At 39.4% G+C, this 22,858-nt stretch overlaps 1 protein-coding gene across 1 annotated transcript in view, besides 1 other annotated feature; it reads right to left on the reverse strand.

Annotated features, from left to right (window-relative positions):
* Positions 1–22,858, reverse strand: part of KMT2C (lysine methyltransferase 2C) — a 301,079-nt gene that overhangs the window by 12,487 nt on the left and 265,734 nt on the right. The window contains exons 41-52 of the mRNA NM_170606.3: positions 21,775–21,838; positions 19,735–19,967; positions 14,706–16,415; positions 11,452–11,661; positions 8,794–8,935; positions 8,499–8,646; positions 6,856–7,034; positions 6,599–6,735; positions 5,294–5,543; positions 4,031–4,170; positions 3,489–3,596; positions 622–1,741 (exon numbers count right to left, since the gene is read on the reverse strand). Of these exons, the coding sequence (NP_733751.2) occupies positions 622–1,741; positions 3,489–3,596; positions 4,031–4,170; positions 5,294–5,543; positions 6,599–6,735; positions 6,856–7,034; positions 8,499–8,646; positions 8,794–8,935; positions 11,452–11,661; positions 14,706–16,415; positions 19,735–19,967; positions 21,775–21,838 (4,441 nt within the window). The remainder of the gene's footprint in view (positions 1–621; positions 1,742–3,488; positions 3,597–4,030; positions 4,171–5,293; positions 5,544–6,598; positions 6,736–6,855; positions 7,035–8,498; positions 8,647–8,793; positions 8,936–11,451; positions 11,662–14,705; positions 16,416–19,734; positions 19,968–21,774; positions 21,839–22,858) is intronic.
* Positions 11,551–11,610: an enhancer, noted in NCBI's record as "active region_26876". NCBI's record gives its function as "activates an Ori minimal core promoter by ATAC-STARR-seq in GM12878 lymphoblastoid cells {active_cell/tissue: GM12878}" and the evidence as "EXISTENCE:reporter gene assay evidence [ECO:0000049][PMID:35858748]".

Raw genomic sequence — 22,858 nt, forward strand, 5'->3', positions numbered from 1 at the left:
GGTGGCTCACACCTGTAATCCCAGCACTTTGGGTGGCTGAGGCAGGTGGATCACCTGAGGTCAGGAGTTTGAGCCCAGCCTGGCCAACATGCTGAAACCCTAAAATACTAAAAATACAAAATTAAAAACTACTAAAAATATAAAAATTAGCCGGGCATGGTAGCGCAAGCCTGTAATCCCAGCTACTCGGGAGGCTGAGGCAGGAGAATCACTTGAACCCAGGAGGCGGAGGTTGCAGGGAACTGAGATCGCGCCATTGCAGTCCAGCCTGTGCAACAAAAGAGAAACTCCGTCTCAAAAAAAAAAAAAAAAAAAAAGAAAAAGAAAAAGAAAAAGGAGGTCCCCAATGCAAATGACAGGCAACCTTTATCTACAAATCATTCTCGGATTTACCTCACCAACTCGTATGTTCAAAGATATATTGATTATGAAAGTGTTTAGACAACTGTATAGCAAAGAGAGCAAGGTGTGAGAACACAAACATTGGCATTTGTAAATGAAAAATACACATTATAAAATATAAAACTAACATGAGACAAACATGGAAAATTGACAAAATACATTCATTAGCCTGACATCAGAGTAAGTAGCACTGCACAGCATGTGAACGGCAGACGTTACCTTTAGGTGAGATGTCACTTAGAACCAGGTCTTCATGGCCTTGTTCCACAATCCTGATGACAAACACTGGGCGCCCATCCTTCTCCTCAATGGAGCACAGGTAGCGGCAGCGCCTATTGGCATAGCGAGTGCTCCAGTACAGCCGGCTGGCTTCATAGCCCACAGGGAAGAGTGCTTTAGGAGAATGGAATGCTTGCATCTGCTGTGGAAGCAGCTGACCAATTGTGTGGAAGATGAGGCTACCCACGCGAAAGGTATGGTCCCGTTCTCCTCGTTGCACGATGCTAGCAATCTGTCGCACCTCATCACGCTGAACATAGACCCTCCTGAAGACTGCAAAGTAACTTAATTCTTGCTCATGAATTCCCTTTGGTTTGTGCATGGGGCAAAGCATAGTTTTGTCCTTAAAAAACATGCATTGTGCTTTAATGGCGCAAGTGAAGTGATAAATGTTGGTGCATCGAAATCTGTGGCATCCACTAGTGGCACCCGTCTTGTGACAGAAGACACATTTCATTTGTAGGCCTCTCCTCAGAGCTAGCTCCACATTTATTAAGGCACCAGCCTGAGTCTCATAGACCTCCGTGGACCACAGAGCGCAGTTCAAGTGGACCCACAGATCCAAGTCAAGGTTGAGTAGCCTTGCTGGTCCATCTGTCAATCCATCACCTTCTTCATGACAAAAGCAACATTTCCGATAGTCTTTGGGCACAGGATCAGGTTTAAGGGAAGTGCCCAATTTCTTTAGAAATTCATCTATTTCATCCTCACAAGGTGGTTTAAATGTCCCCTTAGGGATTACAATATGAATGCTCCACTTCTTCCATTTCATTCCTCTCCATTTTTTATTGAGCGGCCTGCAATCTTCAAACCCACCATGGACAGCTCTTAGCCGAGGCTTCAGCTTGACTGTCACCTTCAGCTCATCTGGCTTGGCCTCGACTTGGGCTGCTTCAAAAGCAGGAGGGAAGGCGATGGGTGGTGAGGCAGGGGGAGAAGCTTTCTCTGGGAGCTGGGGGAGACAGTGCACATCCAAAGTGGAGATGTTGTTGCTGTACTGATGAAATGCTTTGGAAGGCGTTTCTCTCATAGGTGATTGTGGCAATGAAGGAATGGATTCCTGGGCAACATAAAGAAACCATGACAAAGAAAAATAATTCACAAGCCCGGAAAGCAATTCTTGTTAAGACAAGAAGCTGAGCAGTATGACTGAAGAGGATGGGTGACCTGAGGGGCAGAGGGAGAGTCAGCAGTAAGTGCTGGGGGCTCATGCACCGCAGAAGCTGACCATGCTCTAAGGTGCACAGGGATAGAGAGCGGGTGATGGCAGCTGTGCCGCGTCCTTTCGAGGCCTTTTCCACAAAGCCATAATTCTGGAGAATATTCTGCTCTTACACTTTCTGGGACAATCCCCTTTCTAACTATATTAAAACCAGAAAAAGAAAAAACACACACACACTCACAATGCTGTCAGAAGAGCTAATATAATTTGTACAATGGAACAGTGTTTTTTGTTTAACCAAATAAGAACGCTGCAGCATCGTTTCTTGAGAGCTTATCTCCACTCTAAAATTCACATCTGTTAATCTCAGCCTTAATCAATTGGTGTAAATGTTACAGAAAGGGAAGGAGCCCCTGTCAACAAATGAATCATACTAACTTTTCTCTGAGGCTTCTCAGCTCTGATCCGGCTGCTGAAACAGTTGAGCTGAGGGGAAATCTCCAATAGCTTATTTACTTTATGGTACAGAGTATCATAAACTAATAAACACCAACCCACAGGCTGCCCTCTTTTCACATGCCCCAATCCTGACAAGGTATCTGAAAAAAGACATGCCTTATACCAAATCAGGCAGGGACTGCACACCAACTTAAACTATCTGGTGAAAAAAAAAATCCTTCTTGCATTTAGGCTGATGTATTTTAAGATCTAAATTTATTTGTCATCTAGCCTAGATTTTATTACAGGCATACTACAAACAACTACCTGTTAAAAATAAGTCTTCAGAATGTTCTTCTGTGAAAGACATACCAGAGCAATAACCTGGATGGAGGAATGACTGGCAGTATTACTGTACAGGAAAAGCTTCCTTCAAAACATGATTATAAACATATCATTTGTATCAACCATTAGTTGGACACACTCAAATTACATAAAATCAAGTAAAGCAGACCTCTTTCACCATACTGTGAGCAAAGTGTTTTCTCTTAAAATGCACAAATAGTCTTAAATTTTATCTTTAAACAGGTTTTCCTATTGGGGTAACATCAATAAAAATGATTTTAAAATATTAAGATATTTACGGCCGGGCGCAGTGGCTCACACCTGTAATCCCAGCACTTTGAGAGGCTGAGGTGGGCGGATCACGAGGTCAGGAGTTTGAGACCAGCCTGGCCAACATGGTGAAACCCCATCTCTACTAAACTACAAAAATTAGCTGGGCGTGGTGGCACGCACCTGTAATCCCAGCTACTCAGGAGGCTAAGGCAGGAGAATTGCTTGAATTGGGAGGCAGAGTCTGCAGTGAGCCAAGAGGTGCCAATGCCCTTCAGCCTGTGGGACCAGAATGAGACTCCATCTCAAAAAAAAATTAAACTGGTAAAATTAAAGATTTTAATATTAGTGTTCTGTTTACTGAACTTTTAAAACATAACTCTGCCCACTTCTGTCAAATAACTAAGTTGAAAGAGTAGCACGACTCAAGGCTCCCTACACCCTCTCCTCCTCTGCCGGGTCAGCACCTGCTTTGGATTCCCCACACAGAGCTCCATGAAGGCAGGGACACATCTTTATTCACTCCCATATGCCCAGAACACAGAAGTCACTCGTTACACATTGTTATCAGCTGAGATTATCCTAATCTCACCTTGTTTTCTGAGTTTTTCGCTTGTGCAGTTGATGAATAAAGAATAAAGCAGTTATTACTACAGAAGACAATGTCCTTCTCTACCCTCTTGGTGCTTTCTCGGGAATCCTGAAAAGCAAAGAGAAATGTGTGGGAATCTCAACAAGTCAAAATTTAATAAAAACAGGATCTATACATTATTTTTATGTTATATTCAAAAGTGACAGTGGTTCTTTATCTTAATAGTAGAAAGGAAACTATGTTCCAATATTTAGCATGTGATAATTTAGCTAGGGAAAAAATACATGTATAAAACCAAACTATGTGGTCCACGGTTCACTCTATTTAAAAATACGTAGTCCTCATAATATTCCCTTTAACAGCCTGTTGTAGCTCTTTGGTGTTCAGCCCAAGCACATCTGATATACGCTGGTGCCATCACCAGGAACATGTGTCCATCACACCACCATAAGTGGTGTCTCTCTCTGATGTTGGAAGAGACACTGCCAAGGACATTTTCGCTGGAGGTAGGAGGTGGGGTCATAAAAGGAGTAGCAAAGTACCTTGTTCAAAAGGGTCAGATCTTTGAAAGATTTCCGCACACCACTTCCAAGAATAACCACTTTACAATGACAACACCACTGTGGTCTGAGTGCTGCGCTTTCTGCAATACCATGACTAGAATCCTTATATCCAGAAAGACCTAAAGGCAATCAACTTTTGTTAGTAATTAAAACTGACTGATGACACAAGGTGGCACATGGTGAAAAATTATGCAGTATCAACTCATTACAACATGGTTCATTAACATTATTCTTTAATTAATAAAAAAAATTTATCTTCTAAGCAATGGTTACAGAGTCGATTATCTGACACTAGGGCAAAAATAAAGAAACATGCCTATTCTCAAATAGCTGGGAAAGCAATGGCAGTATAAAAGAAGAATCTAATAAAACTAAGTCACCAAGAGAGATTACTATTCAGTCTAAGTACAAAGTAAGACAGAGAGGGAAACAGATATTACTTTTGCTTGCAGGTTAAGATGGTAAAAAAACATTTTATGAAAGATACAATGACATATGTATAAGAGTCTTAAATAAGTGTGACTTGCAGAGTCAGAAATGAGGAAAGAGCCAAGGCCAAGGATAAGAAGGTAAATAAGGACTCAGGAATTAGAAAGCATCATTCAGGTGCAGTGTGAAGGCAAAAAGGAGCAGGGAAAAAGTGACAGAACAGCTAGAAGCCAAGAGGAGGAAGCCAGGGCCTGGACTGAGCACGCCTGTAAGATTGCCAGTGAGGCAGGAAGGAAAGCGACATCATGGTCGGTCTAAGGAAGTTGTTCCATTCTCAGAGATGGGGGGCATGAACACCTCTGTGGGAAGAGAAGGGCCCTATAGAGCTGGTGCAGAGGTAAAACAAGAGGTAGGTGAGGATGGAAAGCAGAGGAGAACAGGAAACAGAACCCACGTCAGGTCACCAGCCCCATCTGTACCAGGTGGCCCAGGTGCAGCGGGATGGGGGTTGGGAGACAGGAAGAACAAAAGCTGCTCAAGGGCAAGCCCGTCACAGGCTTCTTCTGGCAGCCTGCACAGATGGCTGGCACTCACATAGCCCCTGGTGACAGCATGACAGAATACACAGGCCAAAGCACTAGAGGTCAAAATCACAGCACAGAAAACAGAACACCCACACATGGTAAGTTCACCAAGGACTATACGCCAGCATGTTACCTGTCCGTTGTTAAAAGATAATCAGTATCTCAAAGAGTAAGCTTAACTTTTGAATCAGGAATGGATTTGGGGTTAACAAAAAGCTCACTAGCTCACCATTGCTTGTTGGAGGAAATGGTACATTAGGCTGCTTCAGCCGGTAAGAGCTCACTAATCTGGGAGGGTTTGCAGATCCTGGCGGAGGCCCACGGAGAAGTAAATGCTGTCGATACTCCAAACCCGGGTTGATTCTGTGGCTACTGACCAAACCCATGGATGGGACATCTGGAGCACTGCTAACCTCATAGCTGTTAGGGATTCGGACGTGAAGAAGGTCGGAAAATGCAGCCACAACACTGCTAATGTTCTAAAACCAAATGCAAATGCTGTATTATTCACCCAGAAGGCAACAGTGAACCACTGAAGAAAAATACACACTTAGGATAAATCCTCTTTGCATGATACATAGATTCTAAGAAAATCCAACAAATTTTATTTAGACTTAAAGAACCTCAGGAAAAAAATTAGCTCTAACGAACTAATATCCAAAAAAAGAAATTTATAAACAGAAATCCTCATAAAGGGATTCCAATTAACATTAAATATCTAGTAACACATTAAACTATTTTAGATATTGTAACATCTGACAGACCCCGTCAGTTCCTACAGGTGGTCAGAAAGCTTACTTCCAGGGGCTTCCCTCCAGCTCTGACACAACCCGTAAGAACAGACAAAGGTCTTGCTACTGCTGTATTTTGTTGATAACCAAAATATCACATCATTGGACTTCTAGTTTGGTCTCTACTGAAATGTCTTCACAGAATTCAGAGTTAAAAAAATAAAAAATCCTCAGGAAATTACTTATGTTTGATATAAGCAGATGCTACTTGAAGAACATTTCTATTGCTTCTGCAAAACTATTACTGTTGATAAAGTTCTTTTTCATTGCTTAATTTTCTTCTCTGTTAACAGTTACAAAGAAGTTTTTTCTGAGATGGACATGATGGCTCACACATGTAGTCCCAGCTACTGAGGAGGCTAAAGCAGAAGGATTACTTGAGCCCAGTAAGTTTGAGGCTGCAGTGAGCTATGACTGTGCCACTGCACTCCAGCCTGGGCAACAGAAGGAGACTGTGTCTCTATTAAAAAAAAAAAAAAAAAAAGAGTTCTCTAAAGTATACATCCTTTAATAAGAAAATGTGAGCTCTAATTTCCCTTTTTACTTGACGTAGGCTGAGACCAATTCAATGACAAACGATGGCACTCAAAGGCAGCTGAGAGGTCTGCAGTGAGCATCAGCTCTGCTCTCTGACCCTTTATCCTCAGTGATCCTGTTTGTGTGTGTTTTATGGTAGACACCTGACCCATCTTTGAAAATTGGGGACATACTGTTTAACATTAAGAAGTCATTTAATCTTTTACCTCAGCAGCTGTAGGATGCAGAGTAATTGCTACAGATATAAGACCTGATCTGGGACCATTTGGGGAAGGACCAAAAGGTGACGCAAAATATAAAGTGCCTGGCTCAGTTTTGATGTCATTCCTTCTTGATTCTGAACCTTTAAAAAGAGAGAAAAAAAAGAGGAAAATAGTGTTAATGGATTTTCAAAATCAAAATATTTACATTAGTAAATTGGCGTAGTGTAAAGGGAAATAATAAGGTTAAGTGTTGTTCTTACTTTTCCCAGCAGTGCTAGGAAGAATTGGAATGATGGGGGACGGCACCGGTTCTGGAGGCTCCTCCTTGACCAATGACAGATCTGGATACCTGCTCACTTCTACCCCAACCACACTCTCAGGAGAGGATGAGGGAACAAAACTGTCAGGAGTATCTCGATCACCACAGTGATCCTGTATCCTGAAAAAACATAAACACACACATCAAAGTCTGCAAATCCACCACTGGGGGCTTCCTGTACCAACCCTGCTGACATCTGTGAATACAGCTGTAAGGATACTCTGGGCAGCACCTATACGATGAGCAGCAAATGAATCAGCTCAGAGCCACACTGGGAAAAAAATACAAGAACAATATTTAGTTACAAAATAATTTAAATGGTATGTTTCCTTTTAACGAAAGCTTCAGCACCAAAGTTTGAAGACCTGCCAAAGAGGAAGATGTTCTGATTAGCATGTAACATAGAGAGCATGAAAGCACCTTTTCAAAATCCCAGATCGTTGAGCCTAGGGCAGCACTCCTGCAGCTTGAAAAGGAAAGAGCTGCTGGTTGGATTTAACAATAAAAAAGGAAAACTTTAAAAAGACAAAAAAAAAAGGAAAGAGAAGTCCAACACATATGCAATGGTCACACCTGCATTCACCTGACTGGGAAAACAGCTGTCCTACTGCTGCTCTTTACACTGGCAAGATGGGAGAAAACTTAGCCATTGACTTGATCGGCCCTTATTTTTCTTAACTGATAAAGTGAGGTGAGAAAAACAAAAGACTGGTCCCTTCTGTTGAGTTCAAGTTTGAGTCTACCAGGCCAATTGTGAGGTCTCAGACTAAGTTCCACAACCCTGTGGAACTGCTGTCTCCCACTCCTCACGCAGAGAAGTAGCTGTCATGCAGGAGACCCAAGAAAGGCTGGCCTACTGAGGTACAGTAGAAAGAGGACCTGGATCCTCAATTGGGACAGATTATTCTCCACTTCGGTCCAAAGTTTCCCCATTAATAAAGTAAGGGACTTAGGTTAAATAAATGTCTCATCAAATAGAGGGTAGTGGGCAGATTTTCCAAAGAAGAGATAATTATTTGATGAAGTTGTAAGAACCCTCTGGATCTAAAGAGTTGGCTAGCGATCATCTACTAAGGGAACTTGATTCTCCCCAATTAGAATCTTACAGTTAAAGAACTGACACAAAGACATCAAACCCCAGACAGTTCTTAAACTCTCTTCCACGACGGCGTTCTCTGATATAGCAACTTCTGCTCTTTCATTTTAGACATCTACAAACAACAATAAACCCAATAAATCACATTAATACCCTTTAAAGGACAATGATTTCTGAAATATGTTGCATGGAGATTTTCCACTACCTTCATGTCTATTAGATTATTTAATTAGATTAAATAATCTAATACTTAACTGTCTATTAGATTATTTAACTCTCTATATGATGTAGGCTTAAAAAAATGCAAACTAATTATGTTTAATGGTAACAATGTCTTATAAACTTTAAATCCTGAAGATTATTCACCAAATTGTACTCTTCAAATGTTTTTACATGCTATTCCTAAAGACATTATGCCACATACATACATTTATTTTTTTTAAAAGAAGAAATAACTAAGAATTATTTGAGAAAAAAATAACCTGTACCTTAATTCTTCCTGATTGTTATGAGGTGGTGTTGGGAGGGAGGCTGGCACATCAACTGTCTTGGGGCCCTGAGCAAGAGCTCGGGCCAACAAGTCGTCCTGGGGTCTGAAGGGCAGCTGAAATGGTTTAGGTCCTAGAGTTTTGGTAACTGGAAAAGCAAAAACACAAAACCATAAATACATTCAGTCAATATTGATAAATGGGTAGAACTTTACAATTCTATTGCCATTTCACAATACACAACTGGCAGAGGCACATTTCTCCGAGGTGTGAAATTTGGAGGCTATAATCATACCTTCATGGCTCACTAACACTCCGGCTTTTCCAGCAAGTTCTTCAGTTGTTGCAAAACCATTGGCCATCTTCTGACAAGCCATAGGAGGTGGTGTAGGAGGAAGAGAGGCAGGGGGTGTTGGAGGATTACTTAAATTATTCTGCTGCAGGAGACCAAAAAATTTAAATTATATGCTACTGAGCGAATATGCAATGACCTTGCTAAAACGTAGTTCTGTGAATTTTTTGCACATAGAAGCAAGGCTACAGAAATGTAATCAAGATGTATCTTGCACACCAAGAAAACAATACCTACAAGGCCAGGAGGCTTCTTAGTGGAACAGATACTCGTGATTTTATGGACATACCAACTTGCTTACTTTACCCAGCTTGACTACTTAAGCTCTGAAATTAAGAAGCTAATTTCCTTTCTACCTGATTTTATTTATGCAATTCTTCAAGTTTCGTGGTTATAGCTAGTGAAGGATAACTTTAAAATGCAATCAAGAAATTGCAAAATATTATCAAAATATCCTTTAAGTTCTCATTAAGATATGCCCTAGTTCTATGAAAAACTTAAGAATTTCTGGTCTTAAACTTGTAATACAACTCACATCCGAGATATGAGAATCTGGATTGACTAAGACCTTTAAAAGAAGCAACAGTACTAATGCTACTACTAAAGTAACTAAATCATTAATGTAGTTCCTCTTCAGACACCTCTCCCAGCTTAACAGTTATCACCAATTTGTCATTTACTGATTAGTCTCTCAAGGAGAGACTTGGAATCTACCAATAACACCATGCAAATCAAGTGCAAAGTCAAATTACAAATTTTGCAAAGATAAAGAATTTCATGAGGATGATAAAATAAGGTTGGAGAACAGCTTATGAGTTAAGATAGTTTTTTTTTTTTCTTTTTGGAGACAGAGACTTGCTCTGTCACCCAAGCTAGAGGTAGAGGGCAATGGCACAATCATGCTCACTGCAGCCTTGACCTCAGGGTGTGGTGGTGCATGCCTGTAGTCCCAGCTACTTGGTAGGTTGAGGCACTAGAATTGCTTGAATTTGGGAGGCAGAGATTGCAGGGAGCTGAGATTGCACCACTGCAATCTGGCCTGGGTGACAGAGCGAGACCCTGTCTCAAAAAAAAAAAAAAAACCTACAATAGTCTAGGAATTACTTGTAATTAATACCTAAATTATTAGATATACTTAAAATTGTTTAATTTCATTTTTCAAGGTAAACTACTACTTTTTTTAAATCCCCACCATTTACAATGATTTTTGAATTCATTTTAAGTGTTAATAAAGGTTATAAGGAAATAAGGATTTCCACTACCATGGAAGTACATAATAGATATTTCTTGCAATTTGTATTCTTACCTATAAAAACAACTTCAAATGTTTATGCTAGAAATACTTCACCAGGTAAAATTTTAACCCTGTAGCTGAACTTAAGTTTTAATAAAACTTGGAAGAGTAGATGTAAACTAAATACAAAAATAAGACAAGCTCTATCAATTCTGACATGTTACCCAAAGATGAAGCAAGACAACACCTTGGCAGAGAAACATACCTTGTAGATCAACTGAGAATAGTAGTCCGAAACCCCTTCCAGGGTAGCACTGCCAAAAGTTCCTAGAAGTCGATTCCCACTATTAAATTGGCCACTGCCATAAGGAAGAAAGTGCGCAAAGTTCACTCCAATGATTGGTTCCATTAGAGGGAGCAGAGAGAGCTGCTATTAAAAAACACATTTAAGAGTAATGTACATGATAAAAGGAACTCAGTGTAGCTCAACTTTCTAAGACCCGAAGCAACTTTGTTGAATAAGGCTTCAGAAAAATGAGACTTAAAATTTTCAAGTATCAAAATGCTGGAGTAAGTGAGAGAGACTACAGACCTTTGAGACTTAAAAATAAGCTCTGTACTAAATGAATGCTGCCAGGCATCTAACAAGAAAAACATATTTCTTATCTATGCTCAGCAAAAACTGGGGCATCAACTGAGGCTGGGTACCACCAACAGCACTGTTAGCAACTGTCTCCCACCTTCTGTAACAACCACAAAGGTGTAGAACAGAATTCACAATGTGTTTCTTTGGATTCAGAGTCACAACAAAGTACTGAGGACAGATTTTTTTCTTGGTACTGAGGCTACTCCTTATGAACATAAGAAAATCTTGACTATCACCTATCAATCCATTTGTATTACCGTAAATTTCAGATGCCAATAGGATACGGTGCAATTCTGCTTGGAAAAAGTCTACTAGGTTCCTTGTCCAGATGTCTTTTAGCATTTGATCTCTCGTGTCCTTGAATTGTTTGTTTTTTTTTTGTTTTTTTTTTTGAGACACAGTCTCATTCTGTCACCCAGGCTGGAGTGCAGTGGCACAATCTCGGCTCACTGCAACCTCTGCCATCCAGGCTCAAGCAATTCTCGTGCCTCAGCCTCCCAAGTAGCTGGAATTACAGGCGTGTACCACCACGCCCAGTAAATGTTTGTATTTTTCGTAGAGATGAGGTTTTGCCATGTTGGCTAAGCTCATCTAGAACTCATGCCTCAAGTGATCCACCTGCCTCAGCCTCCCAAAGTGCTGGGATTACAGGCATGAGCCACTGCCCCCAGCCTATATCCTTGACTTTTAAAAGAGGCTGCTCTAAATGACTCACCCTCACCTGTTTCAAGTGGGTAAACGTGTCAGTGCTAGAGTACATAGCTTGTTTCTCCTCTTCGTCCTTTTTCCTTTTCTTTGAGCGAGGTGCTGCTTTCTCACCCGTCCTCTGAGTCCGTTTGCTTCGCTGTTTCTTGGTTTCACTTCCTCCATCTGTTTTTGGCAACTGGTTGCCACATCCAAAACCACCTTGCATTTGAGCCCCCAAAGTTTGCTAATGTAATTGGAAAGGGTAAAAAATAAGTGAACAATTTGCATATTTGGTTTTTAGTTCATGCAGTGCCAAGCTATGACGCGTCATCCTAACATGGCACTAAAAGGTATTAAATAAGTAGGGAAGATAGAGTGGTGTCAATGCTGGTTTTCCAAAAACACCATCCTTTTCTTCAAACGTTATTCTCGAGTATGGAAATCAGTAAGCTGCGAAGCTTGAGGAAAGAGCAGAACTCATTAGTAAGGCCACAGCCCTTTCTGGCAAAGCATTACCCCTCATGCTGACCTCCCTGGGGCTGGGGAACCCCTTATTCCTGCTTACTTACTGCAGAAGGGAAGGAAATGCTTGTAGATGGCTATAGGAGCCTCTGCATAGTGGTCTTGGTGAGTTATTTTTGGTTCCCCTTAGGAACTAGTGAAATATGAGGTGTGCTGAAACAATTCACAGGCTCCAGAAAAGCTTTACAGCCTATGCATCTTAGGTGAGAGAACAGATAGCACCAGACAACAATAAAAAGAAAAAACACTGGTTCTTCAAATTAGTTCACAACCGTATTTGACTGAAAAATAATGGCCACATACTTAAAGTCAATGGGAGAGAACGTAGATGATAACAAATAAACCTTTTCTTTATTTTTATCATTACAAAGTGAGAATAAGCCAAGCCCTGAAAAGGCCTTTAAGGGTAGTCCTATCAGTACCTTAAAACACAGGAATATTTTCAGGCTCCATTATTTCTAAATTTAACAGCAGTACTCTGCTATAGACGATTATAGTAGCTGAACTTACTGTAATGAATTCTGCATTGAATCTCTGACGGTTCTGAAAATTAGTTTCCAGTTATATTCTAAATAGTTTAGCGCATGGATGGCAACATTTTTATGTAAAGAGCCAGATGATAAATATTGTAAGCCTCTGTAGGCCATACAGCCCCTGGCATAATTACTCAACTCTGCCCTTGTACTTCAAAAGCAGCCATAAACAATTCATAAATCAATGAGCTTGGCTGCGTTCAAATAAAACTTTTAAAATTCACGGACAAATTTGAATTTTGTATAATTTTTATGTGTCACAAAATACTACTCTTCCTTAGATTTTTTTTCAACCATTTAAAAATGTAAAAGCCATTTTTAGCTCATGGAGGGAGGCGAAAGCAGGCTTAGACTGCTCATCTCCAGGCTAGTTCTGTGGCTCTCAAGGGGTCTCCAGGGCGGCAGCAGCATCTAGAGCTGGTCTAGAAATGCAGATTATCTGGTCCCACCCAGACCTGCAGAATCAGAAATACCGGGGCTGGAGCCCAGCAATCTTGGTTTAACAAGCCCTCCTGGTGCTCCTCACACTTTAGCTTTGAGAATCACCTGCCTAGAGCAGTACTTCTCCCCTTCAGATGCTCAGGAATCACCTGGGGATCTTCCTAAGTCTACATTCTGAGAAGCAGGTGTGTGGCGGGAGATTCTGCATGTGTTACAAAGCTCCCACCTGATGTGGATGCTGCGGATCCCCAAGGACTGCACTCTGAGTGGCAAGAACCTAAAAATTAATTATATATATATATTTATATATTTATATTTATATATATATTTATATATAGATGTATATATTTATATATATTTAAATCACTATATATTTATTTAAATCACACTTTAATTTGGGGGGAGGGGCTACTTTTTAAACTTGACGTGGTTGTTCCCCATGCCATTAAACATTCTTACACCCACAAATTTTAATATAAACATGCTCAAAATGTAGTCTACGTCCTTCAAGGAGCTATTTAAATAATGTTAAGTGGTACAACAGAAATCGCTATGTGAGAACACGAGCATCAACACATATTTGAGATTGGGAGAGGTGAGAAAGGTATCTGGAAAAAGATGACTCAAGAACTGCATTTCAAAAGATAAAAATATATTGTCCAGACGTATATAAGAAGGGAGAACAGAACAGGCAGAAGCAGCAGCATGTGGTATACATAGAAGGGTAAAAAGACAGAAGGCTGCAAGTTATTCAGTACTCCTCAGGGTATAAGATGTCTTGGAGAAAGTGGATGGAGACTGTGCTGGAGAGTTGCCTATATTTACTGGTGACAACTGTAAAAGCATAACCAGTAAAATTTACAAAAATTACACAAATCTATCAAGTCAACACTCAATCTCTACTGAATGGTCAAAGACAAGAAAAAAAGCAACACTTGCAAAAAGATGAGCTTCATTAACAATCTTAAAATGAAAAAACTGGACAACTAAATATACCACTCAACCCTTAATTAAAATATGAAAATGAAATCCAATTTGAGAAGCTCTCTAGGGACAGCTTTATGAATGCACTGGTAATGGCACTGCACCTTCTGAAAGATAAACAGGCAAGAGCTATTAAGCAGACCAATTCCCATGACTCAAACTCCAGTTTTGGAACTATCTTAATGAAGTTAACTGAAATAAAGGGGACAGATTCTTGTAAAGGTATATTTACAAGTTAGCTCTTCATGTAAATGAAAAAAAAAGCAAATTAAATGTTAATAACTTAAAACTGATAGAAAATTGATACATGGAAAACTACAAAACAGTATCTACATGTAACATTACATTAAGTATCAATACAACACTGTAACCACACAATAGCTTCCCAGTGTGGTATCCCTAAGAGTGCCAAGGGTATTAATAGGGGTGCATGGGCTATCCTCTGCATTTTAAAGAGGTTAATGGAAATTAATCACTTATTTACAATAAAGTACATAGACATTTACTTACTTTGCTTTAGTCATATCAACTCAATGTGGTAATAACCAGTTGCTACACATCACGTTATATATGAAATGCAATACATGCCTTTGCTTTTTAAAAAATAGTAAACAAATTATTATTTAATATAGTTTAGATATAAGTAAAAACATGGGTTCCAGAGAGGTAGAAATGACAAAATAAAAAATGGTCCTTTAGAATAAAAAGGTTGTAGAATAATGTGGAAATACAGTTGCTGGTACTAATCTGCTGTAAGTATAATTTAAAACAAAAGAAAAAAGTTGTCGTTTTTATGATTTACACTTACCAGTCCTTCAGCTGGGTTCTGCTTCTCAACTAGTTTATTATCCTTTGTACAGTCATCTTCTGAACAAATACTGCCCTCAGGTTTTTGATTCAAAAGAGAAGATGACTTTTTATTTTTCAACAAGTGTTTCAGAAGTTCATTCCCTGAGTCTCCTTTGGCAGCAGGGGCCCCAGCAGAATGGGGAGGACTCTGTGCTGAGGAGACAGGACAGGCTACAGCGTTTCCTTCTACCTTACTACCATTCTGTTCCTCCAATTTAGGCTCCTCTTGGCCTGGGCAGGACTCTGTCTCAGCCTTTTCCAGTTTTATCTCTTCTGTTTTGGCAGGGGTTTCCATGGAGAGCTTGTCTACTTCTGAATTTGCATACGTCTGTTGATTTGGAGTTGCTTGTGAGAAATCACTATTGGGCAGTTTGTTCTCTAATTCTGTACATAGCTGGCCTGCTGCCATATTGGGAGTGGATGGGCCGACTGGTTCCACCGACTCTTGGTCGGCTTGTTGAGGAAGCTCACTGGGTGTGCTCACTGCAGGAGTAGAGGTAGTTTCTGAGATGCCTGGAGTCGGTGGGGCAGTTATATCTGAATGGGGAGTTGATGGAGCCTTGGTGGATTCTGCATCATCATCTCTTTTCTTCTTTCTTGTTCTTTTCTTTTTCCCTTTTTCCTCTGGGATTATATCAGAATACAACTGAATGAGCGATTGGGTTGATCCCGGATAACTGTGTCCATGGGTTATAGTAGAATCTTGGCCACATGGGAGACTGCTATTAGCTACTGGAGGTGCTGCTGGTAAAGCAGGTGTAAAAGAAGGCCTCACTGGGGACTGCTGGAAGCTGGTCCCAGAAAGATTTCCATGTCCCTGCTTCACAGAAGAAAAATTTGGGCTTCCAACAGGGATTGATGGTGAATCAGGAACAAATGAAGGAGGGCCTACCTGCCTTCGCTCATTAGTCTGCATGAAAGTTTGGGTGGAGGGTGAATTAATTGATCCTTGTTGTATATTCTGCTGCTGTAAAACCTGCCCCATTTGCTGTTGGTGTTGTGGAGACTGCTGAAGGGGTCCTAGAGGTTGCATAAAATCACAAGGTAAGTCGGAACTGTAGAAGGGAATCTGGGACACAGATGTCCTACTACTACTTATCTCAGAGCCCACCATACCATGCTGCTCCATTTCCATCCTCTGCTGCAAAGCTCTTTGTCTATCTACCTCCTGCATGAGTTGGATCCGTTGTCTCTCTTGCTGTTCTCGTAAACGTTCCTTACGTTCCCGTTCTTGAAAACTTTCACTAAAGGGATTGTTGTCATCAAATTCTACCCGAGGTGGTGGTCCACTCTGTGGATTTGCATTTGAGACTGTCCCTGGGGCTGGTGTACAAGTTTTTATTGGTAACTGGGCAATTGGGGGCTGAATTCTAGGAGGATTGAGGGGCAGGTGGGCAGGAGCACTGTTGGGTTGCCATCCAGGTAAACTGGGCATTCTAACAGGGCTAGTATGGCCAGAAATAACTGTTGTGTGCTGCTGGTGCTGAAGCTGCTGTGGCACCATGGGAAAGGTGGGTTGGCTCATGGTGGGTGGAGTGGCACCTGGAATTAGGGGTGGCTGGGGCTGGACACTGGGCATCATGGTAGGTGGGGCCATTGCACATTGCTGCTGCTGTTTGATCCGATAATCTTCAATCAATTCAGCATGTTCTTTCTGTTGTTTACGAATCTGGAATAACAAAATGCATCATTACTCATTTCTATACAGCATAGGTACTGAAGTAAAACACTGGCTGATGACTGTGGTTGAGGTTACACAGAGGGCAGTTTGGCCCTGCAGAAGCAAACATATTTTGCTTGGGTAACTGCAAAAGTCACAAAAAAATTGAATTGATAAGCCTTAACTAACAACTGTCAATCTCTTTAACAACAGGATTTTTATAAAGTTATCTGTAAAAGTGCTTCACATATGAAATATCAAAAACGGTTTAGTAAAATATTAAAATCTTATGGTGAAACTCATATATACTATTTATACTATACATAAAAAATATACAATAAAAAAGGTTACACAAGCAGCTAATTTTGATGTCCTAGAAATTACAATATACAATGTTAGAATAACAGACTTAACTCAAACTTGAACCATTTAAATGTTAAGATTTCATTTCTTAAATATATAAATTGTACAACATTTTTTTTTTTTTTTTGAGACGGAGTCTCGCTCTGTCGCCCAGGCTGGAGTGCAGTGGCGCGATCTCGGCTCACTGCAAGCTCCGCCTCCCGGGTTCACGCCATTCTCCTGCCTCAGCCTCCCGAGTAGCTGGGACTACAGGCGCCCGCTACCACGCCCGGCTAATTTTTTGTATTTTTAGTAGAGACGGGGTTTCACCGTGTTAGCCAGGATGGTCTCGATCTCCTGACCTCGTGATCCGCCCGCCTCGGCCTCCCAAAGTGCTGGGATTACAGGCGTGAGCCACTGCGCCCGGCCTGTACAACATTTTAAGACAAGATGAATTACCAGCACGAATATCACACCCCCCACCCAGATTAAAAAGACTAAATTTGTTGAACACTTTCAATTTAATGGCTAACACTCAAATTATAATTTCTGAAATCTATACAAGCTCCGAGGAAGTATTTTGAATAGTCTGTAAATAGACTCTTAATATAATGGCTAATATCAATTAATTAATTCATTCCAAAAACCTTTGTGTCCCAATGTGCTCAATACTACAGGCCAGATATCAATCAAGACGCAAACTATGTTCTGGAGAACCTCACCATCTCATTCAGCAAGCTAGGGAAAGAAGGAATGCAAAAGGATGTGTATATCTCTCAACATCATTCAATTTTTAGATAAATATTAATATACTAAACTCAGGAGTTCTAATAGTTTTTCAAAGTATTTTCTTGGGTTCCCCAGGTAGACTAATACTTTCTGCAAATAATCGTGTTTCATCTCTTCTTCAACAGTTGTGTAACTCCTATTTTCTTATTTTTCCTGGCCAGTTTACTGGTTAGAACTGAGAAATTACCATTGGTTGGTGAAGTAGTAAGAAAGTACAGAAAGCACCTACAACACTATGTGGGATATATAAGGTGGTCATCCATGTCTTTCCCATGATATTTTATAATACTTTTTAAAACATTACCATCAACTGCTTATCTTAATATGATTATACTGGATCTTTGGCAACTATGTAATAGATGATGTATCCCATTTTTCAAGTATTAGCTTCTAAATAGGATTTGATCTATGGATATGCAAAAATTAGGCCCTCATCAAAAGACCTTGTACAAATATGCCAGATGGCAATGAAAGTGCTAAAAAAAATATACTTTATTAAACATATCTTTACAAGAATATTAACCTACAGTAAACATGAACCCAGAGAGTAGATTTAAAGAGAAAAGAAACCTTTCATTCTGGAATAATCCTAGTTTTAAACAACTGGAATTATGATCACCTTATTGTTGGTACATTATTGTGGTAGCTGTGGTTTGAAGATAAGACACGTGAGTCCAAATCCCTAATCTAATAGTTATAAGCAAACATGTACAGTGGGGGTATTTTTTGGGATTTTTTTTGTTTTGTTTTGTTTTTGAGACAAGAGTTTTGCTCTTGTTGCCCAGGCTGGAGTGCAATGGTGCAATCTCAGCTCACTGCAGCCTCCACCTCCCGGATTCAAGCAATTCTCCTGCCTCAACCTCCCAAGCAGCTGGGATTACAGGCACCTGCCACCATGCCTGGCTAACTTCTTGTATTTTTAGTAGAGACGAGTTTTGCCACGTTGGCCAGCTGGTCTCGAACTCCTGGCCTCAGGTGATCCGCCTGTCTTGGCTTCCCAAAGTGCTGGGATTACAGGCGTGAGCCACCGTGCCTGGCCACGTGTACACAGTGTTTATAACCTTTACAATGAATCAGTTTGTAAAATGGGGATAATACTAACTCCTTCAGAAAGATGTAGATAAGACAACGTAAATGGAAGTGCTTCCTACAGTGTTCATTATAGAGCACTCACATTTTTTTTTTTTTTTTTTGAGATGGAGTCTCACTTTGTCGCCAGGCTGGAGTACAGTGGCGCAAGCTCGGCTCACCACAACCTCTGACTCCTTGGTGCAGGGATTCTCCTGCCTCAGCCTCCCAAATAGCTGGGATTACAGGCACACACCACCATACTTAGCTAATTTTTGTATTTTTAGTAGAGACGGGGTTTCACCATGTTGGCCAGGCTGGTCTCAAACTCCTGACCTCAAGTGATCCACCCACCTCGGCCTCCCAAAGTGCTGGAATTACAGGTATGAACCACCACGCCTGGCCTGAACCTTAAGTTTTTAATTTACTTGGGTAAATATACCTAGGAGTTGGCTCTGAACCCATTTTGTACACTACTATTGTTTTATTTTAAATACAATTTTTACATGTTTCTTCTTTTCCAGTATATTATTCAGTTTAAATATTCTGATAAACTTCTGGTTTATAATAGAAGATAATGGCAAAATGATTTCATTTTTCTGGAACAGTACTTCACATAAGACATACCAATGTATTTTAAGACCAAAACATTAAGAAATAATAATAATATCAACTCCAAGTAAACAAAAATACTCCCTGGGCCCCCAATTCTTATTCCAAACTAAACCCAGTATCTCCCCATGAGCTCGGTCCTCAGTTAAGTCGAATACTCTCAATGATGTATAACAGAAACATGGTCTTTGCAGTGATTTCTTAGTGCAGAAAAAAATAACGTCTCCAACTATACCAAAGTTGAAAATAGTTCTTCGAAGTCGAAATTATGAGACTCAATCTCTTTTGTGTCATTTATTTAGTATGTGCTGTGACCGTCACTTTAAGTAAAAGACTGGAGCTGTTATGGCTGCAGTTACTAAGAGGTCTCAGAGCTGTCACTTTTTGGCAATGTACTTTTAATGCCATTTAATACTAGTCAAAAAAAATCACTAGTCAAAGTCACTAATGAACAACACACCAAAACATTCTACTCATTAATTGTTGGTAGTTTCTATTTTGCAAACCTATTTATTACCTGTTCTAGCTGTTTCTGAACCATGCTTTGCTGTTCAGTAACATGCTTGAGTTGTTCTGCATCTTCCTCTGGAAATTCACGCCCAGCTTTCTTGGCAGTACGTTGTTTAGCTGAAAGGGCCTTCTTAGATTTTCTGTGAGCACCAATTTGTTCTTCAAGATACTTCTGCTGCATTTGAAGCAGCTGTTGGGTCTCCTGGAGCCACTCTTCATACTGCTTACGCTGTGAATCATCTGAGGAAAAATTAAAATTCAGTTGTGTTAATTTTCTAAAGAGTCCAACATTATAAGTTACACAAATCTATTTTGTAAGGAAGTAGTTTCACCATGACCACATAATAGGAAATTTGAAAACACAATACTAAATATTAGACGATTATGTAATGATAAAATATCAGATTTTAGAAAAATATTTAATTGAGAAAGCCAGAGAATGCACATTCTTGAGATACTGGTTAACTTAGCACTTATAAATATTACAAATCCAATCTTGGAAAAGCAGACTTATGTAATGAAATTCTTTTTTTTTACTAAACAAATTCTCTAACCCACAAGCCAAACTACATACTAAGGTATACATGCATTTTATGAATACGATTTTACAGATTTTGAAGAGACAAAGACATATCCCATTAAGGTCTAGCGCATAGACTAGGAAATCACTTCCCATGTTAATTTTCCTGAGTTTATAAGTTCTTTCCTATTTCTTAATAATGAAAAAATATCCTAAACAGAGAGAAAAGGAACCCAGAATGTTTTAGAATGGAATAATTTAAAGTCTATGACTTATAAAGGAAATCCATAAGTTGAAAACATTGGTAATTATTATTCTGTAGTTATATTTTTTAAAATAAGGGGAGGGAATAGTTAACCAAGCAAAACATTTTCTACTTTTACAACTGCCAGTAATTCTCCCCAAATGGCTATATCTCTTCATTTTGTACCAATATTCTCTTCTTTATTCTTTAAGGGCACTTTACTTCATTGATACCCAGTCCAAGGGGAAAAAAAAAAAGTCATCGTATGTAGTGAAATTCTGAATATACCTTTTTGACTCACTACAAGACAAAGAAATGAATAAATACATTTCTAAGAAGGACATTCGCTGAAAATAACATCAATGATAACAGAATATTGTCATACATTAAGAATCCAACCAAAGCCAATGGGCACAATAAAGCCAGAAAAAGCCAGTTGGTATAGTTCTTTACTTGTTTTTAATGCAAATATGTATTCAAATTATAGTAACAATTAATGTAGGGGGAATTTCAAAAGGTCAGACTTTGGGTTTGTTCCTAAACCCAGAAGTTCCAGTACATGTATGAACTTGAAATCTAGTCTACTAAATTTGAAGGGCATTTTTTAAGAACAGGCTTTTTCACAAGATTTCAGAAGTTCTGCTTCTGGTAGAATGAGACCTACCGCAAGGAAAGCCTTTCTGGTTTCTGGAACCAGGAGAGCAGAGGTGAGCAAAATGAAAAATAATGGTGAAAAAAAAGTTAGCTAAACAGTCTGAAGATTTCAGAAAGGTTCAGTTTGGGGAGAACTTTAAACACTATCCTGAACCACCTTGGGACCCCTGCAAATAACTAGAAAGGATTCAGGGGCACCTTGCATACCTGACCTTTACACCATGCTGCTAACCCAACTTACTGCTAAGTATAATCCCTTTGTTTTTCCCATTTAGTGTCCTTGTCACTTAGGAAGACAGTTCTTAGAGCAAAACGTGGTTTAGTTCTATAGACTGTAAAGTGCCCAATCTGTATACAAAAACAGCAACAATATTGAAGAGAATGGGGAAGATGGTTTTTCTGTATTAAAATACTTTTCTGTAACTATAATTCTTCATGCACAGTGAAAAAAGCAATGAAAACACACGCCTTGAAGAAGAGTTGCCTAATAGGGCAGTGATGTTTAATAAGACAGGAGGGCACCTGGGCTTGAACTGGTGTACCTACACTCACTTCAGGTTTAGAACAGCACACATAGAGTGCAGACAAGCAATCCCCAGAAAACATTAACTTATTAGATTTATACTTACTGACAAAGCCTGGACCAAAATTTGGAGGATTAGGCCTAGAAATCTGATGTGTTATACTGCCATCCTAAAATAAGTAAAATTTACAAATATGTTTATTCCACATTTCAGTTAAAGGGGGGAAAAAACTTTAAAAGAAAGAAAGAAAAAAAGAAATGGAAGAAAAAACCCTTTAATTTCCTAAGATATCTTTTAAAGGTTTTTTTATAAAAAGTAGAGTGAATTTAGTGGTGGCAACCTAATTCTGAATTCTTATTACTATCTCTGAACTACTATACTGTCTAGATTTTGGCTGAAAACAATTATGCTTGAGGTAAAGGATTATTCATCAGAAATATAATACAGGGCAAATCAATTACTGCTAATACTAAGCGAGAGATCTATATAAAAAATCTCACTTTTTGATGAAGTTTACCTGGTTTCTTCTTCAATCAAACACAAGTTCCAGATTGACTAAATGCCACTCCACAGCATGGTTATTTATAACAAAAACTAATGTCTCTAACATGCACAAATATAAAAGAAAAATACGTTAATAAAAATATTAGTCTTATTTTCTACACACGCCTGTAGTCCCGGCTACTTGGGAGGCTGAGGTGGTAGGATCGCTTGAGCCCAGGTGTTTGAGGCCAGCCTGGGCAACACAGCAGGATCCTGTTCCCAAAAAAATAAAAAAAATAAATAAAAAGTATTTAATTCGTTTTATTTTCAAGTTAAAAGTCTTATTTCTTCCAGGTGACTGAACAAGCAGTTATTAATCTCACAAGTCCCTGATAATCACCTAACAAATTAATGTTGAAAAATGTTTATCCAGTTGTCACAAGTTCTCCTTAACATGAGCTGTATACAAGGTAATAATTATAAACTTATACTAGCAGCCAGAATGTATTATGTGCAATCTTCACAATACTACAAAGCAGTTGGTTTAACATTTGACATATTAAAAAACAAGAGGCTAAAGAATTTGCCCAAAGTTGCACAGTAAATTCATAGTGGAACTATAATTTCTTTAAAAAAACTCAGCTATAAAGGCTATGCTTTTCCCATTATATCAAATGGCTTCTGTTTCCTCTTTTAATAATGAGAA

The sequence above is a fragment of the Homo sapiens genome, chromosome 7 (genome assembly GCF_000001405.40).
Source record: "Homo sapiens chromosome 7, GRCh38.p14 Primary Assembly".
Taxonomy (NCBI): domain Eukaryota; kingdom Metazoa; phylum Chordata; class Mammalia; order Primates; family Hominidae; genus Homo; species Homo sapiens.